At 48.9% G+C, this 27,347-nt stretch overlaps 1 protein-coding gene across 4 annotated transcripts in view, besides 2 other annotated features; it reads right to left on the bottom strand.

Annotated features, from left to right (window-relative positions):
• DNAJA3 (DnaJ heat shock protein family (Hsp40) member A3) overlaps positions 1,015-27,347 on the bottom strand; it is a 30,908-nt gene continuing 4,575 nt past the window's right edge. The window contains exons 2-12 of one of the 4 annotated variants that reach the window (NM_005147.6): positions 23,273-23,406; positions 20,305-20,388; positions 16,215-16,415; positions 15,370-15,522; positions 14,626-14,773; positions 13,062-13,126; positions 10,776-10,904; positions 8,942-9,057; positions 7,293-7,390; positions 2,863-2,979; positions 1,015-2,244 (exon numbers count right to left, since the gene is read on the bottom strand). In NM_005147.6, coding sequence (NP_005138.3) covers positions 2,876-2,979; positions 7,293-7,390; positions 8,942-9,057; positions 10,776-10,904; positions 13,062-13,126; positions 14,626-14,773; positions 15,370-15,522; positions 16,215-16,415; positions 20,305-20,388; positions 23,273-23,406 — 1,232 coding nt within the window. In that variant the 3' untranslated portion in view covers positions 1,015-2,244; positions 2,863-2,875. Of the gene's footprint in view, positions 2,245-2,861; positions 2,980-7,292; positions 7,391-8,941; positions 9,058-10,775; positions 10,905-13,061; positions 13,127-14,625; positions 14,774-15,369; positions 15,523-16,214; positions 16,416-20,304; positions 20,389-23,272; positions 23,407-27,347 lie in introns of those variants that run through there. The other 3 variants (NM_001135110.3, XM_047434875.1, NM_001286516.2) reach the window with 3 other exon arrangements.
• Positions 1,102-2,072: an enhancer, noted in NCBI's record as "H3K4me1 hESC enhancer chr16:4505719-4506689 (GRCh37/hg19 assembly coordinates)". NCBI's record gives its function as "activates a minimal SCP1, AML or CMV promoter by ChIP-STARR-seq in primed H9 embryonic stem cells {active_cell/tissue: H9 hESC(primed)}" and the evidence as "EXISTENCE:reporter gene assay evidence [ECO:0000049][PMID:30033119]".
• Positions 7,019-7,814: an enhancer, noted in NCBI's record as "H3K27ac-H3K4me1 hESC enhancer chr16:4499977-4500772 (GRCh37/hg19 assembly coordinates)". NCBI's record gives its function as "activates a minimal SCP1, AML or CMV promoter by ChIP-STARR-seq in primed H9 embryonic stem cells {active_cell/tissue: H9 hESC(primed)}" and the evidence as "EXISTENCE:reporter gene assay evidence [ECO:0000049][PMID:30033119]".

The following is a 27,347-nucleotide window of genomic DNA, read 5'->3' as shown; positions in this document are numbered from 1 at the left end:
CCAGGAATAAGCCCAAGCTTTCACAAGAGACACGGTCTAGCTCCCCACTGCTGTATCCCCAGGAACTAGAATAGGGCCTGGTCCATACTGAGTGTCCACAGTAGGCAGGCAATCAGTATTTCATTGATGAAAATACTGGGAAGTATCTGAGATGAGCAGAATGTCACTGCTGAGCCTCTCCTGTCCGTCAGCTCTTTCCCGAGTCTCTTCTCCACCTGACCCAGCAAACAGACTCTCATCTCACCCTGCTCAGCCCAGAGTGCCAGAGTGGACTGAGCTGTGTATCAGGGCCCCTCTAGCCACGCCAGGCATAGAGCGTGGCTGGGAACCCAGAGTAGCCAAACTATAATACATAAAAATTTTGGTCAGGCATGGTGGCTCACACCTGTAATCCCAGCACTTTGGGAGGCCGAGGTGGGCGGATCACCTGAGGTCAGAAGTTCAAGACCAGCCTGGCCAACATGGTGAAACCCCCCATCTCTACTAAAAATACAAAAATTAGCCAAGCGTGGTGGCATGCACCTGTAGTCCCAGCTACTCAGAAGCCTGAGACAGGAGAATCGCTTGAACCCAGGAGGCAGAGGTTGCAGTGAGCAGAGATGGTATCACTTCACTCCAGTATGGGCGACACAGCGAGACTCCATTTAAAAAAAAAATAAAATAAAATTGAATGTAAAAGATGCAAAGACTGGAAAGAATGAAGGGAAACAATCCAGTGAGGGAGACTGAAATGCAGGGACCCAGGGACATTGGCCAGCTCTCACAGCATGGGCTCCCAAGAAAAAAGTCACATCCAGATTCTAGAACATTCACTCACAGGGGACTGTTGTGTCATGGCAAGCACCCTGCTCTGGAATCCAAGTGAGGGTCAGCACTGTCGGCACCCCAGACCCATCTGCCTCTATGTGCTCTGGGTGGCTGTGAGCACAGGATGAGGCCAGCCAAGTCTCCTGTAACCCCCATAAGCCACCTGCAGAGGCTGTCTGAATTCTTTCAAAGAAGAAATGACCACAATTTAGGTTTGAAATATCTTTTTGCAATAGATAATCTTATTTACATTAATACAGAATCATTTTACATTCCTAAATCAGACACTAATAGATGCTTTATTTTAGTGAATTATAAAGGAAAACAAAAAGGAAACTGTTGAGAAGTGTTCTTCATTAACCTGTCTAACGACAGCCCGAAGATCCTGAAACACATGGAAACTGCGACATGCTACCAGCAGAGGCTGGGGAATGGGGGTTCTGCTCTCACTGAATGGTGGGGAACCTTCAACTGCTTAGCCTGTGCTTTCCTTTTCTGAATCAACATTTACAAAGGAAAAAACAATGATTAGCACTGAATAATTTAAACACACTTCAGAAAATAGATGTCAACAGTGTAAGTGGGAGAACCAAGCCCCTGACTAGCAACAGTGGCAGGGCTTCAGTTCCCAAGGCAGCTGAAGTCTGGCCAGCACAGTGCTGCAATGGGCTGTGGCTCAGCAGAAGGGCAGGAGCCCTCCATGCCTGGCTTACAACAACAGGACTCAATAGTCAGGGACAGGCGGCCATCCCGGATGGGGTGGGAGCAAGGACTGTACATCCTGACAAGGATCACCACCCACACGGTCAGAGCAGAACCCCCAGGGACTCTCTGGGCCTCTACGTGCCTCCCAGGCACCGACTGTGCAGCTGCTTGGTACCCCGGGAATAAAAACTAACTGAGCAGAGCAGCTGATGCCTCGGCAGGGCCCCTCATTAGGGGAGGACGGTGCTGGTGGGGCCTGGGGGCCCCACGCTCCCAGTGAAGACAACCTGTCAGGAAGAACTCATTCTGGAACCTCCCGGAGGTTTGCTGAGAAGGAAATTAATCACTTCGTAACTTGATGCAGCTTAAGGCTTCATTTCTAAGCTGTAAGCATGGCCTTTAACTAAGATATCCACAATATTCAATTCCAAATTAGAGTTTTAGCCCTGCAAGAGTCTAACCATCTCCCTCTGCCTGAGCCAGGGGCCGTCACCTACCAATGGACAGGAAACTGCCACCAGCCTCTGGGGCTGCATCCTACTGCCCGGGCTGTCCACTGTGACCTTTCCGTGGAGAGAGGTGTTGTCCCATGATTTTGCTGTTGCCAAGGCCGTCCAGAGGCTCTGCGGGTGGGAGCTCAGTGCTGCTGTTCTGGAATCCTCCCGTCTCCCAGGTGCCCTGGCCCTTGGAGGGGCTGCTGCTTCCCGGCCTAGTTTCCAGTGGATCTTTTTCCTGAGCCAAAGAGATAGGCTGTTACCTTATACTCAACATTTCAAGGGAACACACCCCTGTGGGGAGCGTCTGTTAATCCCTGGAAAGCAGCTGTGCCAAGAGAGGGGCGAGAACCCCACTTGCTGAGATGAGCATAATAAACCAAAGTGGGTCCCAAGATGACACGGCGAGCAAGCGCTACCCCTGGAGCAGCCCCCAGGCTTGCACAGCCCTGCGCTGTCCACGCAGGAGGGCAGCTTCCAAGCAGGCAGGACGTGAGGAGATCTGAGTTCTAGGCCTGGCTCTGCCTGACTCGCCCTCTGTGACCATGGGCAAGCCGGACCCACCACTGCAGGGGGGCTGTACAACAGCCCCAGCATCGCCACCTCCCCAGGAAGAAGACACAGCCAGAGGCTGGCCGCGGCAGCCCAGCCAGTCCTGCACTACAGGCTGATTGCCACGTCATCTATTCCCTAGGCTGAGAGGCCAGCTCCTAGTGGAGCTAGGTTTACCACACCTTGGACTGGCACCTGTTCCAACTCCTGGGGGTGGGGGCACAATATTGGTTAAAGTGGGAGAAAACCAGGATTAGTTCACAGAGGAAAACAAAGGGAAAAAAAACCTCCAGGGTTTTCCTACCTCGGCTGGGATATCATGAGGTAAACATTTTCTTAAGTTTGGAAAGGAATCCCTCCTCGTCCTCCCCAGCCTCACGCCTAGCCTTGCTTCCTGCGGAGCTATCCATGGTGCTGCCACCTGGGCACAAACAGCAGAAAGAACTGGCGTCATGGGCCTGCACTTCCACAGTCACATCCCAGGGCCCACCTACCCCCGCCTGGCCACCCAGGGGCCCACGTTCAAGAAGCGGCCAAGTGCCACCTCAAGAAGAGTGGGGGCCACTCCTAAGATGGCACAGGATGCCTCACCTTGCAGACGACTGAGGTGAACAGGCCACTCAGAGCCTGAGGGTCTCCCAACTGCTCTTTCAATCAAGGACCCACAGCAGGGAAACAAGAAATAGAGACGGACTATGACAGCTGTCTCTATCTGAGCAACAGTGACAAAAACACAGTCAAGTGCCAGGCACCTCCCAGGCCAGGCCATACACTTCCTTACAGGCAAATTTCACAGATGAAAAAACAAAAAAAGGAGGCACAGAGAGGTTACAGGGTTTACCCAAGGCCACAGAGCCAACAAGCGGGAGGGAGGACTGAGTGCGAGCCCATGCAGTCTGACTCCAAAGCTGAGACTCAACCACCATGCTGTTGGCTATAAGAAGGTAAATAATGACTGCCAAGAAAAACCCTACTCTAGACCAACTGGCCAGATTCCATGCTGCTGTGTGCGCAAAGACCCTGCAGAACAGCCCATGTGGGAGTCACGGCCACGCACAATCCTTTGTCACAGGCACTCCATCTCATCCCTCACATCAGCAGTCTATCTCCCTGAGCAAGTTGTCCCCATTTGGGGCACCTAACCTAAATGCTCTCAACCTAGGGAAGCTGTGCTGCAATTTCTTTAGGGCCCAGGCTGACACCATCTAGAGGTACTTTCTCACACAAACGTGTTACAGATTTGCCAACTACTAGACAAGGAGTGCACACTTTTGTTGTGAGTTAGAATATAGACCTGAACTTGGCATGTTAATTGTAGAGCTCATTTTTAATGTGCTCAGAGACCTAGGCCACGCACAGTGCATAAAAGAGTAAAGGCCTCAGTCTAAGTAAGAAGGTGCCTTCGCTAGTGAAAGGTCCAAAGTTTGGGGCCACAGGTCCCCGGGAAGGGGTGAGGGAGGCTACATAAAACAGAGTGAGACCCAGTCTCAAAAAAGAAAAGGCCGGGCACAGTGGCTCACGCCTGTAATCCCCGCACTTTGGGAGGCCAAGGCAGGCGGATTGCCTGAGCTCAGGAGTTCGAGACCGGCCTCGAACATGGTGAAACCCATCTCTACTAAAATACAAAAAATTAGCCAGGGGCGGCATGCACCTGTAGTCCCAGCTACTCGGGAGGCTGAGGCAGAATTGGTTGAACCCAAGAGGCAGAGTGCGTTGCAGTGAGCCGAGATCACGCCACTGCACTCCGGCCCGGGTGACAGAGTGAGACTCCGTCTCCAAAAAAAGAAAAAAAAAAAAAGAACAACAAGGAGCCATACTGTGTCTCTCACTCAAAAAGTCACATAGTAATTGCAAGCCCCCCCAGTTCCCTCTCTGTTCGCCAGAAGATGGACCTGTTTATCCCTGCAAGTGCTGAGTCTCTAAGCACACCATGGTCTTTCTGGGAGACCGGGGTCAGCTCTTAAGGTTTTCAGCAGCTACATTAAGATACTAAACGCATCAAAAACTATGCTGGTCAGGCACAGTGGCTCATGTCTGTAATTCCAACACTCTGGGAGGCCAAGGTGGGAGGATCACTTGAGTCCAGGAGTTTGAGGCTGCCGTGAGCTATGACTGCACCACTGCACTCCAGGCTGGGCCACAGAGCAAGACTCTGCCTCAAATAAATAAATAAATCCCACTGTTGCTTAAGTTCTTAGGACATGAGAATTATATGTCCTGTAATACTGTCATATGTGGATGCAAAACTAACTGTCTTCACAGTATAATGAGAGACTTAACCACCCACAGGCAGCAGACTGACATGTGACGGTGTATGCTTAGGGACAGAGTCTTGCCCTGGCACCCAGGCTGGAGTACAGTGTCGCTGTCATGACTCACCGCAGCCTTGAGTACTAAGGCTCAAGTGATCTTCTCATCTCAGCTTCCCAAGTAGCTGGTGATAGAGGTGCATACTACTTTGCACCTGGCTAGTTTTGAAATTTTTTGTAGAGACAGAGTCTCGCTATATTGCCCAGGCTGGTCTCGAACTCCTGGGTTCAAGTGATCTTCCTGCATTAGCCGCCCAAAGTGCTGGGATTATAGGTGTGAGCCGCTGCATCCGGCCTCACCAAGATCTTTAAAAGGAAGAGCTGACAGTGTCTTGCACACAGGAGAAGACATCCTGGCTGAGTGAGGGAACAGCTGAGTGAGGCTGAGTGATCAGGACAAGTAACCATGGAAGTGACAAAGGATCTCAGTGGGTGGCGGAATCAACTTTCAACTTACAGTATCAGAGAGAGGGTCAAAACATCAACTGGTGACCAGTAATACCCAACCTCCAACAGAGTAAGCAACACCCACGAACCCACCCAGGGCCCGGCCGTAGCACACCTCAAGCTACCCTGATGGGCGGGAGGAGGGAAGGACAGCTGTCTATGGAACCAATCTCGCATGTTATGTGATTGTAGGGTTTGAGGAAGGAGAAGCCACAGGTGCACTGATTAGAGTTCCGGGGAATAGCTACTCTATTACCACTTCTATTTTAGTTCAAGAGATACAACAAGAACAAAAGATAGTATACATATACACAGTATATGTACCAAACCATTAAAATAAGTGACATTTGGAACCTGGTTGGGCTACAGAGTTTTGTGGCAGCTGCTTTTTTGTTGTTGTTTTTTTGAGACAGAGTCTCGCTATGTCACCCAGGCTGTAGTGCAGTGGTGCAATCTTGGCTCACTGCACCCTCTGCCTCCTGGATTCAAGCAATTATCCTGCCTCAGCCTCCAGAGTAGCTGGGATTATGGATGCCCACCACCATGCCCCGCTAGTTTTTGTATTTTTTTTTTTTTTTTAGTAGAGACAGGGTTTCACCATGTTGGTCAGGCTGGTCTCAAACTCCTGACCTCGTGATCCACCCTCCTCGGCGTCCCAAAGTGCTAGGATTACAGGCGTGAGCCACCGCGCCAGGCCCTTTTTTTTTTTTTTTTTTTTTTTTTCAGAGAGTCTCACTGTCACCCAAGCTGGAGTGCAGTGGTGTGGTCTTGGCTCACTGCATCCTCTGCCTCCTGGGTTCAAGCGATTCTCCTGCCTCAGCGTCCTGAGTAGCTGAGATTACAGGCATGCACCACCATACCCAGCTAATTTTTGTATTTTTAGTAGGGATGGGGTTTCGCCATGCTGTCCAGGCTGGTCTCAAACTCCTGACTTCAAGTGATCCACCTGCCCCTGCCTCCCAAAGTGCTGGGATTACAGGCAAGAGCCACTGCGCCCGGCCGGCAGCTGCTTTTTAACAGAGGAATTCCAGTCCCCTGGGAGCAACAGGAGCTCAGTGAAATTCCAGGGACTTCCATCCCAGCCCCTGCCCCTGCCCCTGGAGCTCCAAATCCTCCACTTTATTGGAAAATCGGCCCCCAGCTCCAAACACCTGCTACGAATTACCATGCACTAATCTAAGGCTGCTCAAGTTCTGAGAACTCCACCCAGGATCCAAACAAAAACAAAATGATGCAATGAGGAGGAAATACATGCCGCCTGAACCAAGGACCCCTGGGCACAGCCTGCCCTGCCCTGAGCCAGGAGTCCCAGGAAAGAGGCCCCAGACCCCATGGGAAGAGGGGCTGCAGCTGGGGTGCCATTGTCTCAGCGCCCACAGCAGGTGTTCTGGTGACAGATCCCTAACACAGCCACTCGCTAGCACGATGTCTGAGCTCAGGGTAAATGGTGCATCTGTTCACGGCTAGATAACTTGGAGGGAGTCCTGCTCTAAAGCGGCGGACGGAGTCTGCTGACTGCGGCTCCACTGCTGTGGCTGCTGTTGTTTTAAGACACTCTGAAATCCTGGCGGAGTGTCCCAGGTGGGAAGTGCACAAATCCTTCCAATCCATGCTCTCTCCTTACGCTTTTGCCAGGAGCTCTCAGGGAAGGATTTGTCCGAGGTCACAGGGCAAGTGGCAGAACCAAGAATAGAACTCAGAACACTGGGTCTGAGACACGCAGAGCTGCCTGCAGGAAGTGCCCTGGTGCTCTCACCTCAGCACAGAAACACACACAGAGAGAGGAGGCGAAGCTTGGACTGGGGGCTGCGGCTCCCTGCCCGCTGTCCCCGCCCACAGCCCCCCTCTTTCAACTGCACATTTTAAAGGCTTCATGAAGAACCCGAAGTGGAAACCCCAACATGCTGCCCTGAATTGTCCATACCCTGGGGGGCTCTGAGGCCCCCACGTGTCACCATGTAGTCTTCAGACTCCTTACCAGAGCTGGTGAGGGTGACGCCGTTCACCGTCCCCTCCACATCTGTCTCGTCCTCGGCGTAGCTCAGGATCAGGCTCTGCTGCCGGCTCGTTAGCCTCCTGTGGACCGAGCAGAGTCAGCAGCCAAGGCTTCCGCCGGGAAGCTTTGGAAAGAACTCACAGGCAGCCAGCACCCTCGCAGCACATGGGAAGAGAGGGACCCAACCTTGGCAGGGGCGGACACCCTGAGCCAGTGCAGCGGTGAGAACCTAAGGACCATGCCCTCAAAGCTTCTGTACAGAAAAGCTCCTAAAACACCCTACACTAAGTCATTTAAACAAGTGTCACTGTGGCTATGCTAAATACAGTTTACAGGAGGGGAAACAGATTTTACCAGTGTGTATGTGAAGCAAGTAAGAAATTATCTAATTAGGCCAGGCGCAGTGGCTCATGCCTGTAATCCCAGCATTTTGGGAGGCCAAGGTGGGCGGATCACAAGGTCAGGAGATAGAGACCATCCTGGCCAACAAGGTGAAACCCCGTCTCTACTGAAAATACAAAAATTAGCTGGGCGTGGCGGCACATGCCTATAGTCCCAGCTACTTGGGAGGCTGAGGCAGGAGAATTGCTTAAATCTGGGAGGTGGAGATTGCACCACTGAACTCCACCTAGAGACAGAGCTAGACACCATCTCAAAAAAAAAAAAAGAAATTATCTAATTAACAAAAAGCATGAGTGCTCCCGAGGGGAGTCAGGCATGTCCCGCCCTAGGTACCCACAGCACTCTGCCCAGGCCACCTCTCCAGCTCCTAACAGTGCTAGTAACATCAACAAGAAAAGCAACGGGCCAGGCGTGCTGGCTCACACCTGTAATCCCACCACTTTGGGAAGTCAAGGTGGGCAGATCACCTGAGGTCAGGAGTTCGAGATTAGCCTGGCCAGTGAAACTCCGTCTCTACTAAAAATACAAAAATTAGCTGGGCGTGGTGGTAAGCGCCTGTAGTCCCAGCTACTCGGGAGGCTGAGGCAGGAGAATCATTTGAACTGGGGAGGAGGAGGTTGCAGTGAGCTGAAATGGCACCACCACATTCCAGCCTGGGCAACACAGTGACAGATTCCTTCTCAAAAAAAAAAGAAGAAAATCAACAATAGCAGCAGCAGCAAAGCAATTCCTATGTGTTGTTCATTTAATTCTCCCAACAACTCCAAGAAGTCGACCATTCTGGCCGGGCATGGTGGCTCACGCCTGTAATCCCAACACTTTGGGAGGCCAAGGTGGGTGGATCACTAGGTCAGGAGATTGAGGCCACTCTGGCTAACACGGTGAAACCCCATCTCTACTAAAAATACAAAAAATTAGCCGGGCATGGTGGCAGGCACCTGTAATCCCAGCTACTCGGGAGGCTGAGGCAGGAGAATCGCTTGAACCTGGGAAGCGGAGGTTGCAGTGAGCCGAGATGGCGCCACTGCACTCCAGCCTGGGGGACACAGCGAGACTCCATCTCAAAAAAAAAGAAGTTGACCATTCTACTATGTCCACTTTACAGACAGATAACTCGGGCAGGAACCACCTGACTTACAGGGAGCAGTAACCTGCCCAAGCCACAGAGCTCCAAGGGCAGTGCCACCGCAGGACCAGGCGGGCTTGGCCACAGCCTAGGGGGCACTTACTTTGGAACTCGTATCTTGATGTGGATGTAGTGGTCTCCGTAGCCGTAGCTGTTAATCCGGGGGATGCCTTTCCCACCCATCCGAATCTTCTGGTCTGTCTGAGTCCCAGGGGGGATCTATAAAGAAAGAAAATCTGTGGTTTCCCCTGGTCCCCAGTTGCTCAAATAAAAAGTTTTCACTACATGAAGACAATCTTGATAGGAATTCCTTGAAAAGAACTACCACTGGCTCACGCTCCCATCACTTTGGGAGGTCGAGGCAGGCTGATCACGAGGTCAGGAGTTCAAGACCTGCCTGGCCAACATGATGAAACCCCGTCTCTACTAAAAATACAAAAATCAGCAGGGCATGGTAACGTGCACCTGTAATCTCAGCTACTCAGGAGGCTGAGGTAGGAGAATTGCTTGAACCCGGGAGGCGGAGGTTGCAGTGAGCCAAGATTGTGCCATTGCACTCCAGCTCTGGCTGACAGAGCAAGACTCTGTCTCGGCAGAGCGGTGGTGGAGGGGGTGGGTAAAAAAAAAGGCCGGGCGCAGTGGCTCATGCCTGTAATCCCAGCACTTTGGGGGGCTGAGGCAGGCAGATCACGAGGTCAGGTGATTGAGACCTTCCTGGCCAACATGGTGAAACCCCATCGCTACTAAAATACAAAAAATTAGCCAGGCATGGTGGCGCGTGCTTGTAGGCCCAGGTACTCAGGAGGCTGAGGTGGGAATCGCTTGAACCTGGGAGGCGGAGATTGCCACGAGCCAAGATCGCGCTACTGCACTCCAGCCTGGCGACAGAGCAAGACTCTGTCTCAAAAAAAAAAAAAAAAAAAAAAAAGAACTGCCACTGGGCTGGGCGCAGTGGCTCACGCCTTTTAATCCCAGCACTTTGGGAGGCCGAGGCGGGTGAACTGCCTGAGATCAGGAGTTGAAGACCAGCCTGGGAAATACGGTGAAACCCTGTCTCTACTAAAATACAAAAAATTAGCCAGGTGTGGTGGCGTGCACCTGACGACAAAGCGAGACTCCATCTCAAAAAAAAAAAAAGAACCACCACTTGGGTTTCTGGGCCAAGCCCGCCCACAAGCACATGGAAATGAGCTAAGTTGGGTCTGCCCAGAGCAGAGCCTGTGACTAGGATGAGGGGGCAAGAGTTTGGGCAAGTGAGCCCAGGAAGCAGGAGTGAGGGAGCAAAGCAGGAAAAGCCAATACAGGGTGCGTGGCTGAGGTCGCTCCCTGGCCCTTGGAACCACAGGACCCTGGAGAAGCCAGGGAATAGCCCCCAGATGGAGGAGAAAGCCTTGGCCCAAAATGCCCACCTCCTTCATGGAGGTTACCCCAAGGTTCCCCACAAAGAAGCTGGAGAAGGTTCTGAGGCGAATACAGAGAATGATGTGGCCTGGAGGTGGGAAGAGCTGGAGGGGCAGGTCAAGAGAGAGGTGGGGGACAGGTGCTGGCAGCACACAGGCAGCCATCACTGTGGCAAAAGGGATATGCACCGCCCGAGTCTTCTGCTCTTGGAGCCAGACACTGGACAGAAGCAAGTGCAGAGAGCACAACCCAGGGTGAACCCTTCTGTGTCCTGAATGCGCCCAGTTCCCAGGCCCCGCTAACCAGTGTGGGAGTGATGCCAGCCAGGAACTGCTTCCCATGCGATTATAGACTCAAGGCCTGTGGCTTGTGGTCCACACTCAAGGAGCAGCCTAAAATTCCTCATGTCCTCCCCTGTGAGTGCCCCCCCACATGCTGGTCACTCATGGGTTCCAGGCCACTGGTCAGTTCTTTTCCATTTCAGAAAAAGAGCAATAAAGTACAGGGGTGACAAAGGTGTTCTCACACCCTCTTACCGTCACGTTGATCGTCTCGTACAGGCCCTGGGCTCTGGCTGTACCCCCAAGAAGAGCCTGAGCTATAGAAATAAAGAGGTCGGAGTGGATGTCTGCGCCGTCCCTCCGGAACACAGGGCTTTTCTGCACCTAAGGCCAAACATGACAGATGCATGTGAAGATAAGTCCACTGCAGACTAAACACCAGCTGCATGCCTGGCCAGGCCCAAGCTCAGACCTGACAAACTACACACCCCTTCCATACATAAAGTGCAGTGTTGAGGGAAAGAACTGTCCTTCCAACAAGGAGACACCATCCCAGGCCCAGGAATGACATGTTCTACATATTTCAACACTGCAATGTTCTACACACTTGAAATGCCGAAATGGAAGCGTGCCTGGATTTCCTCAGTCTCAGATCAAGCCATTCAATCGTGAAGGGAAACAAAAATGTAAAACTGGCTTTTGATTTTTTTTTTTTAATCTTACTTTAGCCAGGCACAGTGGCACACACCTGTAATCCCAGCACTTTGGGAGGCCAAGGTGAGTGGATCACCTGAGGTCAGGAGTTTGAGACCAGACTGACCAACATGGTGAAACCTTGTCTCTACTAAAAATACAAAAATTAACCAGGTGTGGTGGCGGGCCCCTGTAATCCCAGCTACTCAGGAGGCTGAGGCAGAAGATCCACTTGAACCTGGGAGATGAAGTTTGCACTGAACAGAGATCACACCACTGCACTCCAGCCTGAGCAACAGAGCGAGACTCCACCTCAAAAAAAAAAAAAAAAAAATCTTACTTTATTAGAAAGTATAGGCCAGCCGTGGTGGCTCACGCTTGTAATCCCAGCACTTTGGAAGGCTAAGGTGGGTGGATCACCTGAGGTCAGGAATTCGAGACCAGCCTGCCAACATGGTGAAACCCCATCTCTACTAAAAATACAAAAATTACCTGGGTGTAGTGGCGCATGCCTGTAGTCCCAGCTACTCAGGAGGCTGAGGCAAGAGAATCGCTTGAACCTGGGAGGTGGAGGTTGCAGTGAGCTGAGATCATGCCACTGCACTCCAGACTGGGCAACAGAGCAAGACTCTCTTTCCAGAAAAAAAAAAGAAAAAAAAGGGAAGAGTAAATAATATAACAAGCATGTCATACCCACAACCCAGTGGAGGTAACAAAATATCACAGGCCGGGCGCAGTGGCTCATACCTGTAATCCCAGCACTTTGGGAGGCCAAGGTGGGTGGATCATTTGAGCCCTGGGGTTTGAGACCACCCTGGGCAACATGGTGAAACCTCATCTTTACTAAAGATACAAAAGTCAGCCGGGCCTGGTGGCGTGTGCCTGTAGTCCCAGCTACTCAGGAGGCTGAGGTGGGAGGATCACCTGAGCCCAGGGAGTCTGAGGCTACAGTGAGCCAAGACTGCCCCACTGCATTTCATCCTAGGCAACAAAGCAATACCCCACCTCAAAAAATAAAGTAAAATAAAATAAAACATCATAAACACCGGTGAGTCTTGCCCTCCTCAGCTAACCACAACCCTGACTTTAACATTTATCATTCCTACAAGCTTCTACTTACTATGTATTTCCGTGTCCCTAAATAATACATAATGCCATCTCACAGGTTTTAAAACTTTACACAGATGGTCTCTGAGGCCCTACAGCCACTGGCAAGCTGCCTTCCATCCCTGCTGTCTGTACCTGCAACGCCTGGAGCATCCCTTGAGTTCAGCTCTCATTCTTTCCTTCCGACTGCCCTGCAGCAGCCTCTGACCACCACGGCTCACTGAGCCATTCTCTTGTTGGAGGAAGGCAGTGTCTTGCTACCATGGACAGGACTCTTGTGCACCCCTTTGTACCTATCGCCTGCTAGGCTTGTGTGGGTTTTTCTCAGGTGTACACATAGGAGGGCAATTGCCAGTAGAAGGCATTGTCTTCATTAATGTTTCCACCATCTCAGAAAACCAAGGTTTGCCCCTGTATACAGTATGTAAAATTGTAACTTTCACACTCACTGCCTCATCAACAATCTTATCATAAAAACACAAGATGTTTCCTGTATTTTTATGTGACCTGTATTTCTAACTTGTTAGCATGTTGAAGAAGTTGTCTTCTCTCCACACAAGGCACAGAATCTTGAAGGTAACAAACAGCTAAAAACCACATCTAGGTGGCCACTGTGCCCCTCAGAAACATGAATGGCGAGACATGTTCCTGTGAAGCTTTGATTACATGGGAGCAGCCTCAGCCACACCCACCCGAAGAGAGGAAAGGCCCAACAGAAGCTGTGCGGGGCAGGGCACCTACCCTGAACGTAATGAAAATTTCCCTTTTTCCCACAGGCATCCTCACGGTCTGGCCATCCTCGACTCCTACAAGGGACATTAGAAAGGGAGAAGTTAGGCAGGACGCGGTGGCTCACGCCTGTAATCCCAGCACTTTGGGAGGCCGAGGCGGGCAGATCATGACGTCAAGAGATCGAGACCATCCTGGCCAACATGGTGAAACCTGGTCTCTACTAAAAATTAACTGGGCGTGGTGGCACACGCCTGTAGTCCCAGCTACTCAGGAGGCTGAGGAAAGAGAATCGCTTGAACCCAGGAGGCGGAGGTTGCAGTGAGCCGAGATCACTCCACTACACGCCAGCCTGGCAACAGAGCGAGACTCCGTCTTAAAAAAAAAAAAAAAAAGAAAAGAAAAAGAAAAAAAAGAAAGGGAGCAGTTATTGTGAGACCTCCCACAGCACTTTCCACCCAAGATCCACTTGTAACCCACAGCTTCTTCCCCACTCCTGTTTCTTATTAACGAGGAACAATGTCATTATCTAAGAGGCACATGGGTAACCTTCCAGAGATGCAACACAGACACCTGATGACTGAGCACCTGCCTCAGGCTTGGTCTAGGCAGTACCTCAGGGAGTTCATGGTCTCACTGGGGTGATGGGTGTTAACCAAACGATAGCACTAATGCATAACTACAAACAGAGACATGCTCTTCAATGGAAATGCTCACAACTCTAGAGAAACAGACATCTAAACAACAGTAAAGCAGGCCACGCGCGGTGGCTCATGACTATAATCTCAGCACTTTGGGAAGCCGAGGCGGGTGGATCACGAGGTCAGGAGATCGAGACCATCCTGGCTAACACGATGAAACCCCGTCTCTACTAAAAATACAAAAAATTAGCTGGGTGTGGTGGCAGGTGCCTGTAGTCCCAGCTCCTTGGGAGGCTGAGGCAGGAGAATGGCATGAGCCTGGGAGGCAGAGCTTGCAGTGGGCCGAGATCGGGCCACTGCGCTCCAGCCTGGGTGACAGAGCGAGACTCCGTCTCAAAAAAGAAAAAAAAAAGAACAGGGAGGAGGGTGTGAGGCTAGCTAGGGAAGGGATACTCAAGCTGGGATCTCCAAGATGAATAAAGTTAACCGAAAAAAGAAAGCAGAAAGTGAGTTTTGGGCAAGGGAACAGTAGACATGGAGTGAGGGGTGGGATCCGTGGGGCTGATGTAGATAGGGTGGCAGCAGGGACAATGATGGCTTCGGTGACTAAGACAGGGGAGAGAGGAGAGGAGCCCGGGGGTTGGAAGCTGCTCCCTCACCAGGAAGAAGCAGAGTAGGCACGTCAGGTCTCTTCTCCCCATTGTGACATGCAAAGTGTAAATTTTAAGGATAACTGGCAGAAACAGAAAGATTCAAGGAGACTCCAGTTCCTCCTCCAGCCTGGGGCTCCAGGGCCTCAACCATAACTTCTACCAAGAGCCCACTCACACTCAGTGCAGTGGCCTCGGCCCTGTCCACCCTCTCCACACGGTGTGGTAGCCTCAACCCTGTCTGCCCTCTCCAAGCTCCTGGACATGGCGGGCCCAAGCACCCACCTGCAGGCACAGGGATCATCACTCGCTTTTTCTGCTTGGCTTGTCCTGCTCCCCTGCAGACCACACAGGGCGATATGATGATGGAGCCGCGGCCACCACATCTCCTACACGTGGAACGCATCACAAAAGGGCCTGTGTTGATGGTTTCCTGATAAAAACAAGAAAAATGGTAACCTAAGTACGCAGGTAAACTGATGGGTGGTTCTGGGACCACAATGTGCGTAAGAAAAATGTCTCTTTAAGGCTTGTTTTTTATGTGCATGTGCACTCAAACACACTGCCTAGGAACCCAGGTGCAGGGCCTCAATCTGTTCATCTGATTTTCTAGAACACACAAACTTCTGCACTCCAGATCATCAACTTGACCACACGACACTGAAAAATATGATACCGCCTGTCTACAGAAGTACCTGAAGACTCCTGGGAGCTGAACAGTACATTTAAAAAAGATTATTTCCCCTTGAATTACCAAAGCAATTGTTAGAAAAATAAAGAAGAAAGTGACAACTGGATGCAATCCCCCGCCCCGCCCCCGGAGCTGCTGTGCTCTGGTTGCTGAGCCTGTGGTATCAGGGAAAGAGGAGCACAGGCTCGTCTCCTCAGGGTCACGGGGGAAAGACAGCCAGGCTGAGTTCACCAACTCCCCCAATTCCCAGCATACGTTCTCTGGGAGCAGTGCCACAACCAGCTCTTCTCAGTCAGTGGTGCAAGCCGTGGGAGGTGGAGTCTCGGGCAGAGCCTTACCATGCCGGAGCCGCCACAGTAGTGGCAATGCTGCACCTTGGTGCCGGGCTCGTTCCCCTTGCCGTTGCAGCGCTCACACGTGTCCATGATGTTCACGGTGAACTCCTTGTTGACCCCCTTTGCAGCTTGATTGAATGTCAACTCCATGAAGTACTAAAGAAACCAAGGGACAGCCTGTCAACTTTTGTTTGCAACGACCAAAACTGACGCTCGGCTCTAAAGGGAAAGGAGGGTACTGGCCCACATTTTCAGTCACTCTTTCACCACTGTACTTACTTGCACTCTGCCAAGTAAGCATAGGTAGGACTCACTGAACGAATTCTGCCCTACTCTTTGGGATTTTTAAGAGATAATGTATGACTTAAATGAAAACGTACTTTCAACAGACTGAAAATGTTCACAGATAAATACTCGTACATGGCACTTAAAAACAGCCTGAATGATCCACAATCATAATTTAGATCATAAATATATCCCCTCTCTCTTCCACTCTGACAGTGTCTTATAAGGACATAAATGAGAGAGGATCAGCAGTGCCTTCCCACCGGACAGAACTCTCCTGGAATACTGTAGCAGATGAGAGACAACACTCACACCCTCATGGGCTCTGAAAGCCTTAGGTGCTACCTCATTATGCAACTGTTAAGAATACCATCAGAATGGACATACTCATTACTACCTATGCGATTTTTCAAATACTGAAATTATTTTCTACTAAAATGGCTGCCTCCAGATCACTCCATTTAAGCTGCCTTGCCTTTCTGAGAAACAGAAACTGATAAAAAAATTTGTTTGACCCATACTTAGTCTAAAATTTGAATAATTCTTCCAAGTGAGGAACTTACTTCCTGAGGCTGATCAAACACGGTCTGGAAATCTCCAAATGAAGAGGATGAGAACTCGCCAAAGATCTTCCTGAACAGCTCCTCGGGGTCCACAGTGGGGCCTCCCTTCCAGTAGCTATGCTGGGAGCCGCTGGCCCCAGGATCGAAGCCTGCAGAGCCGTAGGCATCGTACTGCTTCCTCTTCACCTCATCACTCAAAACCTACAGTGAAAGGCAGAGCCACTGGGCATCCCAGGTCTACCAAGGCCCAGGAATACAGACAAGAGTTCACAGCAAATAAGGCAGCCATAACATTTATTAAGTGGCCCTGTGTGCAAACACATCCTATGAGGTTGGGGTGGGCCTGTGACTAGCACCTAGAAGAGGGATGAGATGACCAAACTGAATGCTAAGTGTAGGGCGTGAAGTGCTTCCAAAAGTCTCACGAACTCTCCCGCCGTCGCGCATGCTGGGAAAATGTTTGTGTTGATCCTCGCTTGACCTCACAGGCACCCTGGATTCTTCACAGATTCACACTTCACCTCTCTCCTCAGGGGACATTACCTCGTAGAGAATTTATGCTTCCTACCCTTACCTTCATCGAAAGGTTTTCTGCAAGCCAGAACAACCGGAGTAACAGAAGTAACAGCAACGACAATAGCAGTGGTGCAATCCTAGCTCACTGCAGCCTCAACCTCCCAGGTTGAAGCAATCCTCCTGCCTCAGCCTCCACAGTAGCTGGGTCTACAGGTGCACACCACCAGTCCTGGCAAATTGTTTTAAGTTTTTGTAGAGACAGGGTCTTGCTATGTTGCCCAGGCTGCTTTCAAACTCCTGGCCTCAAGCGATCCTCCCACTTCGACCTCCCAAAATACTGGGATTACAGGCATGAGCCACTGGGCCTGGCCCACAAAACTGTTAATAAGGACTAACTACCTCAAAAAGGGGGATTAGGGAGGGACAAGGAAAAATGTAGTATTCACTTTGTATCTTTTTTTTTTTTTTTGAGACGGGAGTCTTGCTCTGTCGCCAGGCTGGAGTGCAGTGGCGCGATCTCGGCTCACTGCAACCTCTGCCTCTCGGGTTCAAGTGATTCTCCTGCCTCAGCCTCCCGAGTAGTTGGGACTAAAGACATGCACCACCACGCCCAGCTAATTTTTTTGTATTTTTAGTAGAGACAGGGTTTCACCACGTTTGCCAGGATGGTCTCGATCTCTTGACCTCGTGATCCGTCTGCCTCAGCCTCCCAAAGTGCTGGGATTACAAGCGTGAGCCACCGTGCCTGGCCCTCACTTTGTATCTTTTTTTTATGTGTTTGTCTTACTTTTTTTTTCTTTAATTAAAAAGACACTGCCCTAGGCTGAGTATGGTGGCTCACACCTGTAATCCCAGGACTTTGGGAGGCCAAGGCAGGTGGACTGCTTGAGTTCATGAGTTCAAGACCAGCCTGGGCAACATGGTGAAACCCCATCACAAGAAAAATACAAAAAAATTAACCAAGAATGGTGGTGCACGCCTATAGTTCCAGCTACTTGGGAGGCTGAGGTGGGAGGATTGCTTGAGCACGGAGGTTGAGGTTGAGGCTGCAGTGAACCGTGATTGCACCATTGCACTCCAGCCTGGGCAACAAAGTGAGACACTATCTCAAAAAAATAGGCACTATCCTTAAGGCCAAACAGAAAAGAGTACGCTTCCTCCAAAGGAAAAGACACTTCCACCTAGAATGGAGGGGGACTAAGAAAGCAGGTGGAGGACAGCTTGGTGCCTAGGGTAACTTTTAGGGCACCCAGTTAAGATGCAAAGGAGGAAGGCTGGCAGAGGAGGAGTCAGGTGGGAGTTCATGACTTCCTGGTGGGTTTTATCTCCTGGTTCCAGCCCTTCCCAAGGAATTGCTGCTCTTAGGTTCTGAGGCTCGGTCCGTTTAATAACATCCCCCTTGAAGACAGAAGTCAGCAACACGGTGGATTAGGACTCTCCAAAACTCATGCCCCTGGCAGAAACATCAGATCAACTAACCATGTGGAAAAACACATTCACAAGAATAACACCCCCCCGCCCCATTAAAAATTGAATCTTCTGGGTGCAGTGGGGAACCTGTAGTCCCAGCTACTCAGGAAGTTGAGGTTGAGGCAGGAAAACTGCTTGAGCCCAAGAGTTTGAGACTGCAGTGAGCTGTGATCTCGCCACTACACTCCAGCCTAGGTAACAGAGTGAGACCTCAACTCTTTTTTTTTTTTTTTTGATTGGGAGTCTCGCTCTGTTGCCCAGGCTGGAGTACAATGGCGCAATCTTCGGCTCACTGATGCCTCCCGGGTTCAAGCAATTCTCCTGCCTCAGCCTCCTGAATAGCTGGGATTACAGGCACCCACCACCACACCTGGCTAATTTTTGTATTTTTAGTAGAGATGGGGTTTCACCATATTGCTCAGGCTGGTCTCTTGGCCAGGCTGGTCTCAAACTCCTGACCTCCTGATCTGCCTGTCTTGGCCTCCCAAAGTGCTGGGATTATAGGGATTATAGACGTAAGCCACTGCACCTGGCTGAGACCTCAACTCTTGAAAAAAAAAAAAAAATTAATCTTATCTTCCATAGAAGCAGGTTCCAAGACTGTTTAGTTATGTTATCAATTAGTTTGAGTTACCTAATAAGAACATATTATTTTAAAATTACACTAGTAAATAAACTTTTCATTAGATCTAGTTGACAGATATTTACTCAAAAAAGATTTACTGAGTTGAGCCTGTTCTTCTACGTGGCTGTCTACTCTTATAGATATATGAGCTCCTATATATACTGAACCCCTTTAGGATGGCCAAAGTCGGGCAGGTCTGGTGCCTTGCACCTATAATCCTAGCAATTTGAGAGGCTGAGGCAGGAGGATCTCTTCAGCTCAGGAGTTCAAGACCAGCCTGGGCAACATAGAGGGACCCTGTCTCTTAAGCAAAAAAAAAAAAAAAAAAAGAAAAGATTGTCAAAAAATCTGGGAAAAAGGTCTACTTTCAGAAAACTATGGAAGTGGGGTCAATAGCTGTTTTCAGAGATGTATGCTTTGTCCTCTGATTACATTGACATTCTTATAGGACAATAATGGGCTTCTACTTTTACAATAACCTCTATCCCCAAAAAGCAGTGATGCCCTGAGGTGGAGGAAGGGGATGTCATTGAATAAGGGCTGAATTAATTAATCCAACTGTGAATTCCCAAATCCAGCTACAAGTGTAAATTACCTGGGGAACTTTATTAGTACAGATTATTGGATCCTGTTCTTTTTTTTTTTTTTGAGACGGGGTCTTGCTCTGTCGCCCAGGCTGGAGTGCAGTGGCGCAATCTCAGCTCACTGCAAGCTCCGCCTCCCGGGTTCACGCCATTCTCCTGCCTCAGCCTCCCCAGCACCTGGGACTACAGGCGCATGCCGCCATGCCCGGCTAATTTTTTTTTATTTTTAGTAGAGACGGGGTTTCACCGTGTTAGCCGGGATGGTCTCGATCTCCTGACCTGGTGATCCACCTGCCTCGGCCTCCCAAAGTGTTGGGATTACAGGCATGAGCCACCACGCCTGGCCTGGATCCTGTTCTTCATTGAGATTCCAAGTTAGTCTTAGAATGTTGTTGTTTTGTTTTTTTTTTAATTTTTTATTTTTTGAGAGAAGGTCTTTTTCTGTTGCCCAGACCATAGTTCTATGGCACAATCATGGCATCATGGGTCACTGCAGCTTTGAGCCCCTCAAGTGATGAACCTGACTCAGCCTCCCAAGTAGCTGGGTTTACAGGTGCGCCACCACCACGCCTGGTGATTTTTTTTTTTTTTTTTGTAGAGACGTGGTCTTACTACATTGCCCAAGCTGGTCTCAAACTCCTAGGGTCAAGCCAACTCCTGAGGTCAAGTGATCCTCCTGCCTCAGCTTCCCAAAGTGCTAGGACTACAGGAGTGAGCCACCATGCTTGGCCTGGAATCTCTTTTTTTTTATTTTTCTTAACAAGATTACTTGGCGCAGGGACATGGCCTTCACACTGGACTGTATGACACACCAGGCTGTCCCAGGTAGCAATGCAACCTTTGATTCATACACATAGCTGAACAGCAGTGACCGCATGCACCGAAGTCATATTACCTCATAGGCTTCTGCCAGCTGGGAGAACTTCTCCTTGGCTTTGGGATCATCCTTATTTGTGTCAGGGTGATACTTCTTGGCAAGCTAAGGGAAAAACATGATAAATTACTCCAGATACAATGTGAACCCCAAATACCAGAAACAACAAAACCCCCGATACAACAGAACCCCAAATACCAGTCATAATTATGTTCCCTTTATAAAAGTTGTCTCTCGGCTGGGTGCAGTGGCTCACGCCTGTAATCCCAACACTTTGGGAAGTGAAGGCAGGCAGATCACTTAAGCTCAGGAGTTCAACACCAGCCTGGGCAACACAGCGAAACCCCTCTCCACCAAAAATAGAAAAAATTAGTCAGGCGTGGTGGCACATGCCTGTGGTCCCAGCTACTCAGGAGGCTGAAGCACGAGAATCACTTGAACCTGGGAGGTGGAGGTTGCAGTGAGCAGAGATCGAGGCACTGCACTCCAGCCTAGGTGACGGAGTGAGATTCTGTCCGCCCCACAAAATAATAATAATAATGATCTGTTTTAATGTATCCATCTCTTAACTTGAGGGCAGGAACTGATTCTGATGTATCTTTGCCCTTAGCACCCAGCATGGCTTAGAATAGGTAAATGAACAAAAAAGAAAAACAAATTTTTAAAAAGGGGGCCGGGCGCAGTGGCTCATGCCTGTTATCCCAGCACTTTGAGATGCTGAGCTGGGTGGATCACCAGAGGTCAGGAGTTTGAGAACAGCCTGGCCAACATGGCGAAACCCCATCTCTACTAAAAATACAAAAATTAGCCAGGTATGGTCACACGCGCCTATAAACACAGGTACTCGGGAGGCTGAGGCAGGAGAATTGCTTGAGCCCAGGAGACAGAGGTTGCAGTGAGCCAAGACTGCACCACTGCACTCCAGCCTGAGCCACACGGCGAGACTCTGTCTGAAAAAAGAAAAAATTTTTAAAAAGGGAAGAAAATGACTGAATAAATAGACGTCTCTGCTGTTTCAATTATTTTTGTAGGTAAATAAAATACAGTAATTGCTACAGCTTTACCTGATCTTTTTACTTCCGTGCCTAAAAATCTGAATGGTTCTCTAAATTAAGTCTTTCTCTTAAATTATGTCTCTGGGACTTACTAAGGGCCTCAAATCAACTGTCATGTGAGTCCAACCCAGCCTCCATCTTTTCAATCTTTTCCCACTCTTGGATCAGGCACCTGACTCTTGAGCTCAGGAAGAGACAGGCCATTCGCTCTTCACAGGCCAGGATCTCTGCTTCCTGTCCCCATGCCTCTGTTCATTCCATTACAACCCAATTAAAAAAAAAAGACAACCCAGTTAAAAGTGGGCAATGGATCCAAACACACGTTTCTCCAAAGACATACTAATAGCCAACATGCACAAGAAAGATGCTCACCATCATTAGTCATCAGGGAAAAAGCAAATCGAAACTCTAACGAGATAGCATTTCTTATTCACTAGGGTCGTAATTAAAAAGACAGACGATAATAGTTAAGTGTTCACTGGGATGTGGAGAAATCATGGCCCTCATATGCTGCTGGTGGGAATGTAAAATGGTGCAGCTGCTTTGAAAAAGGCTGGCAGCTTCTCAAAAGGTTAAACATCCAGTTACCATATGACTCAGCAACTATACTCCTAAATATCCAAGAGAACTGAAAACATGTCTACACAAAAACTTACATATGAATGTCTATATAGCAGCACTGTTCATGATAGCAAAAAGTGGAAAATATCCAAATGTCCATCAAACGATGAATAAACAAAATGTGATTAATCCATGCAACAGATTATTTGACCATAAAAAGGGATGAAGTATTGACACAAACTATAACACAGATGAACCCTGAAAACATTATGTGAATGAAAGAAGCCAAGACACACAAAAGGATACATATTGTATGATTCCCTGTATATGAATATTGAGAATAGGCAAATCCAAAGAGGCAGGACGCAGATTAGCAGCTGCTAGGGACCGGGGAGAGAGGACAATGGAAGGGGAGTGCTAATGAATACAGAGTTTCTTTTCGAGGTAATGAAAATGTCCTAAAGTTGACTGTGGTGACAGGTGCACAACTCCAGTGAACTGTGCACTTATAAAAAGCTGTCAATCCTACAATGGTGCCTCCAATATTGATTTTATTTTGTTGGTCAGAGCAAACCAAGGGTCTAGGAACCAGTGGTGTAGACATCTCGTATACAACTTTACTCAGCTACCCTAACTACCCTAATAGACCCTGGGATACAATGGGAATTTCACATTTTCCAGGTTAAGAAAGGGCCAGGCGCGGTGGCTCACGCCTGTAATCCCAGCACTTTGGGAGGCTGAGGCAGGTGGATCACCTGAGGTCAGGAGTTTAAGACCAGCCTGACCAACAAAGTGAAACCGCGTCTCTACTAAAAATACAAAAAAAATTAGCCGGGTGTGGTGGCAGGTGCCTATAGTCCCAGCTACTTGGGAGGCGGACACAGGAGAACTGCTTGAACCCAGGAGGCAGAGGTTGCAGTGAGCCAAGATTGCGCCACTGCACTCCAGCCTCAGCAATGGAGTGAGACTCCATCTCAAAAAAAAAAAAAAAAAAAAAAAAAAAAGAAAGGAAAGGAAGTAATTCTAAACCTCTAAACTTTTATCTGGATGCAAAAAATAACTACCTAAAACTTAGACTAGCATATCTACTGATTCAGAAAATACAGATTAAATTTAATTATGAAAACAGCTCTAGAAAAAAAAACTTCTTAAAATCTCTGGTTTGGACTCACCTCTTTTTTCTGAAGCACCAACCTCTACAGCATTGTGCATCGAAAAACAGTCTAGCAAAGTCCAGCTTTATCACACCCTTCTATACTATCAGCTCATGAGACCTATTCATATGGGCACATACGCTGTACTGATCAGGATCACATGGGATCAACAACATTCCTACTACAATTTGGTCACCAAAACCTGACTTCCATACAGACCTGATAATAGGCTTTCTTGATCTCTTTCTGGCTGGCATTTCGAGGCACTCCTAATATCTGATAATAATCTTCTTTGGCCAAAGGGGCACTCGTGTGGAAGGAGGCAGTACAAATGAAAGGGTTATGTTTTGTTCCTAAAAAGGAAAAAACAAAGAAAATCACTCTGGGAATGTTCTCAACAAAAGAAAACTGTGAGTACATGACCCACCAGGCTATATCTGTGAAGGAACAAACAAACTGATAAGGTTTGGCTGTGTCCCCACCCAGATCTCAACTAGAATTTTAGTTCCCATAATCCCCACGTGTCATGGGAGGGACCTGATGGGAGGTAACTGAATCACAGGAGCGGTTACCTCCATGCTGGTCTCGCGATAGTAAGTTCTCATGAGATCTGATAGTTTTATGAGGGGCTCACCCTTTTGCTCATTCTTCCTGCTGCCATGTTAAGAAGGATGTGTTTGCTTCCCCTTCCGCCACGATCGCTGAGGCCTCCCCAGCCGTGCTGAACTGTGAGTTAAATAAACCTCTTTCCTTTAAAATTTACCCAGTCTTAGGTATGTCTTTATTAGCTGCATGAGAACAGACTAATACACAGGCTACAGCTTTAGGGCTGTTCCCTAATGCACTTCAATAATGGCTAAGGAAGCCACAGTATTCAATTAATATTAAACTATGTCAGAGTATTGGATGAGGCTGATTCTCCTCGCTTATACTACTGGAGTGGTCTCAGTAAACCACTAAAGGAATAATACTCCTGACTGGGAGATGATTAAAAAGGGATTCAGCTCCCCCCTCTTATGCCACATGAGCACTTACCATTTGCTAGGTATTTTCATATTTTCATATTTTTCTGTCACATTTAATGCTTAACAACTCCCCACATTCTTTTCCCTCTATCTTGCAGCCTTGGGTATCTACTTAAGGAGCAGTTCTCAAGACTGCGCTCCCTGGACCAACAGCATCATTAGACTGATGAAAACACAGATGTTCAAGCCCTACTCCAGACATTCACCAGAAACTCAGGAGGTCTCCACCCACTAGATGCCAGTAGAGAACTCCCCGTCTCCAGGCATTGCCAAATGTCCCCTGGGAAGTAAAAGTGTCCCCTGCTGAGAACCAATGACAAATCAATCTAAGAAGGTCGGGGAAGAACTTCTAGGCATCAGCTGTTAAGCTGCAGAAACTGGCTAAGCTGCCCAGGAAAGCATTTGCCACTTTCAGTGGAAAACAAATGGCGGTTACTAACTAGGATGACTTTGTACTTTGGATCTGGATTCACAGCACCTTTTTTAATAGCAAGACACCAACTGCTTAAGAAACAAGGATGTTTTAGTTCATCCACTTAACAGATAGGAAGAGCAGGTTTTTTGTTTTTTGAGATGGAGTCTCGCTCTGTCGCCCAGGCTGGAGTGCAGTGGCGCCATCCTGGCTCACTGCAAGCTCCACTTCCCGGGTTCACGCCATTCTCCTGCCTCAGCCTCCCAAGTAGCTGGGACTACGGGCGCCTGCCACCACACTCGGCTAATTTTTTCATATTTTTAGTAGAGACGGGGTTTCGCCGTGTTAGCCAGGATGGTCTCGATCTCCTGACCTCATGATCCGCCTGCCTCGACCTCCCAAAGTGCTGGGATTACCGGCGTGAGCCACCGTGCCCGGCAGGCTTTTTGTTTCTTTGTTTTTTGAGACGGAGTTTCGCTCTTCTTGCCCAGACTGGCGTGCAGTGGTGCGATTTTGGCTCACTGCAACCTCCGCCTGCTGGGTTCAAGCGACTCTCCTGCCTCAGCCTCCCAAGTAACTGGGACTACAGGCGTGTGCCACCACGCCCAGACTGGAGGTGTTTTAATAGATGAAATCTGTTTAAAAAGTGAATAAGCCGGGCCGGGTATGGTGGCTCCTGCCTGTAATCCCAGCACTTTGGGAGGCCAAGGCGGGCGGATCACCTGAGGTCAGGAGTTAGAGACCAGCCTGACCAACATGGAGAAACCCCATCTCTACTAAAAATACAAAATTAGCCGGATGTGGTGGTACATGCCTGTAATCCCAGCTAGTAAGGAGGCTGAAGCAAGAGAATCGCTTGAACCTGGGGGGCAGAGGTTGCAGTGAGCCAAGATCGCGCCATTGCACTCCAGCCTGGGCAACAGGAGTGAAACTCCATCACAGAAAAAAAAAAGAAAAAAAAAAAGAAAGAAAAATAAGCCTGGGCACAGTGGCTCTCGCCTGTAATCCCAGCACTTTGGGAACCTGAGGCGTGAGGATCGCTTGAGCCCAGGAGTTCGAAACCAGCCTGGGCAACACAGAGACCCTGTCTCTATTAAAAATAAATAAATAAATGGATCAAAGACTTGAACTTATATGACATACTAGATGTTTGTAAATAAACTTATGACATGGAAAAAAAAGAGAGAGAGACAGAAATAGGCTAAAGAGGACTTTGAATCCATACAGATTTATACCTATAACTAAACTAGATGGCAGTGGTGGTAGTGGTGGTTAGAGATGATAACGATTAATGGGGCCTAGGAATAGGAAGGGCCTTAGAGCTATGCTAAGGAGTCTGGATTTTATCCTAAGAGCAATAGGGAGCCACTGCAAATGTTAAACAAAGAACCCATTAGGTTTGCATGAGAAACAACTCTAGGCCAGGCAAGGTGGCTCACGCCTATTGTAATCCCAGCACTTTGGGAGGCCGAGGCGGGTGGATCACTTGAGGTCAGGAGTTCGAGACCAAGCTGGCCAACATGGTGAAATCTTGTCTCTACTAAAAATACAAAAATTAGCCGGTCATGGTGGTGCACGCCTGTAATCCCAGCTACTTGGGAGGCTGAGGCATGAGAATTGTTTGAACCTGGGAGGCTGAGGTTGCAGTGAGCCAAGATCGCGCCATTGCACTCCAGCCTGGGCGACAGAGCAAGACTCCACCTGAAAAAAAAAAAAGAGAAACAACTCTAGGAAGCCTGGGAGACTACTCGAAGTTAATCAGCACAAAACACAACCAGAGGTTGGTTGAGCACATCCAAGTAGGAGGCCAGGTAAAGGATGATCAGACAGGAGAATGGATAGGAATGGTCAGGATACTTAAAATTAGAAATAGGAAATAAATCCGTGTGTTTGGCACACCCAATATCCTCGGGATACAAAAAGCACACTGGAAGTAGTAGGGGTCAGGAGACCACTTTGTGTTTCTTCAGTCAGACTTGAGAAAACACTAGACCTGACTTATTATTGAACTTGTACTCAACCCTCTTTTTATTTCGGAGTAAGGGGTTGCCCGGCCCAGTCCAGCCTCTCTCTCACCACTCATTCCAATGCCACAAGGCGGAGGCTGGTAGTGACCTGTGGCAGCTGTGGCTTCAACATTACGGGCAGAGAACACGGACAGGAGTTAGTACAGAGATAGTAACGCACAAAACTGCATGTGGATAAAGACAAATCACGTTTAATTACAAGACTGATGGCTTTGTTTTTTCTTTTTTTGAGACAGAGTCTCACTCTGTCACCCAGGCTGGAGTGCAGTGGTGTGATCTCGGTTCACTGCAACCTCCATCTCCCAGGTTCGAGCGATTCTTCTGCTTTAGCCTCTCAAGTAGCCAGGACTATAGGCGCACACCACCACACCTGGCTAATTTTTGTATTTTTAGTAGGTAAGAAGTTTCACCATGTTGGCCAGGCTGGTCTCGAACTCCTGACCTCAAGTGATCCGCCGGCCTCATCCTACCAAAGTGCTGGGGTTACAGGCATGAGCCACCATCCCCAGTCTGATGACTTTTGACATTATCCATAGGGCATCAATGATTAACAATAATTAGATTTCATTTAATAGACTATTTATTTTATCACATATGACCAGTAAATGTCCTGTCCTTTTTAGAACAACCCAGAATAAAATAAGCCTCCAAGTCGTTCTAAGAATGGCCAACCCACTGTCCAACAACTGCTTTCTTTTTTTTTTTTTTTGACAGGGAGTTTGGCTCTTGTTGCCCAGGCTGGAGGGCAGTGGCGCGATCTCGGCTCACTGCAACCTCTGCCTCCTGGGTTCAAGCGATTCTCCTGTCTCAGCCTCCCGAGTAGCTGGGAT

Source organism: Homo sapiens, chromosome 16 (genome assembly GCF_000001405.40).
Source record: "Homo sapiens chromosome 16, GRCh38.p14 Primary Assembly".
Taxonomy (NCBI): Eukaryota; Metazoa; Chordata; class Mammalia; order Primates; family Hominidae; genus Homo; species Homo sapiens.
This window is presented reverse-complemented; position numbering and strand designations above follow the sequence as displayed.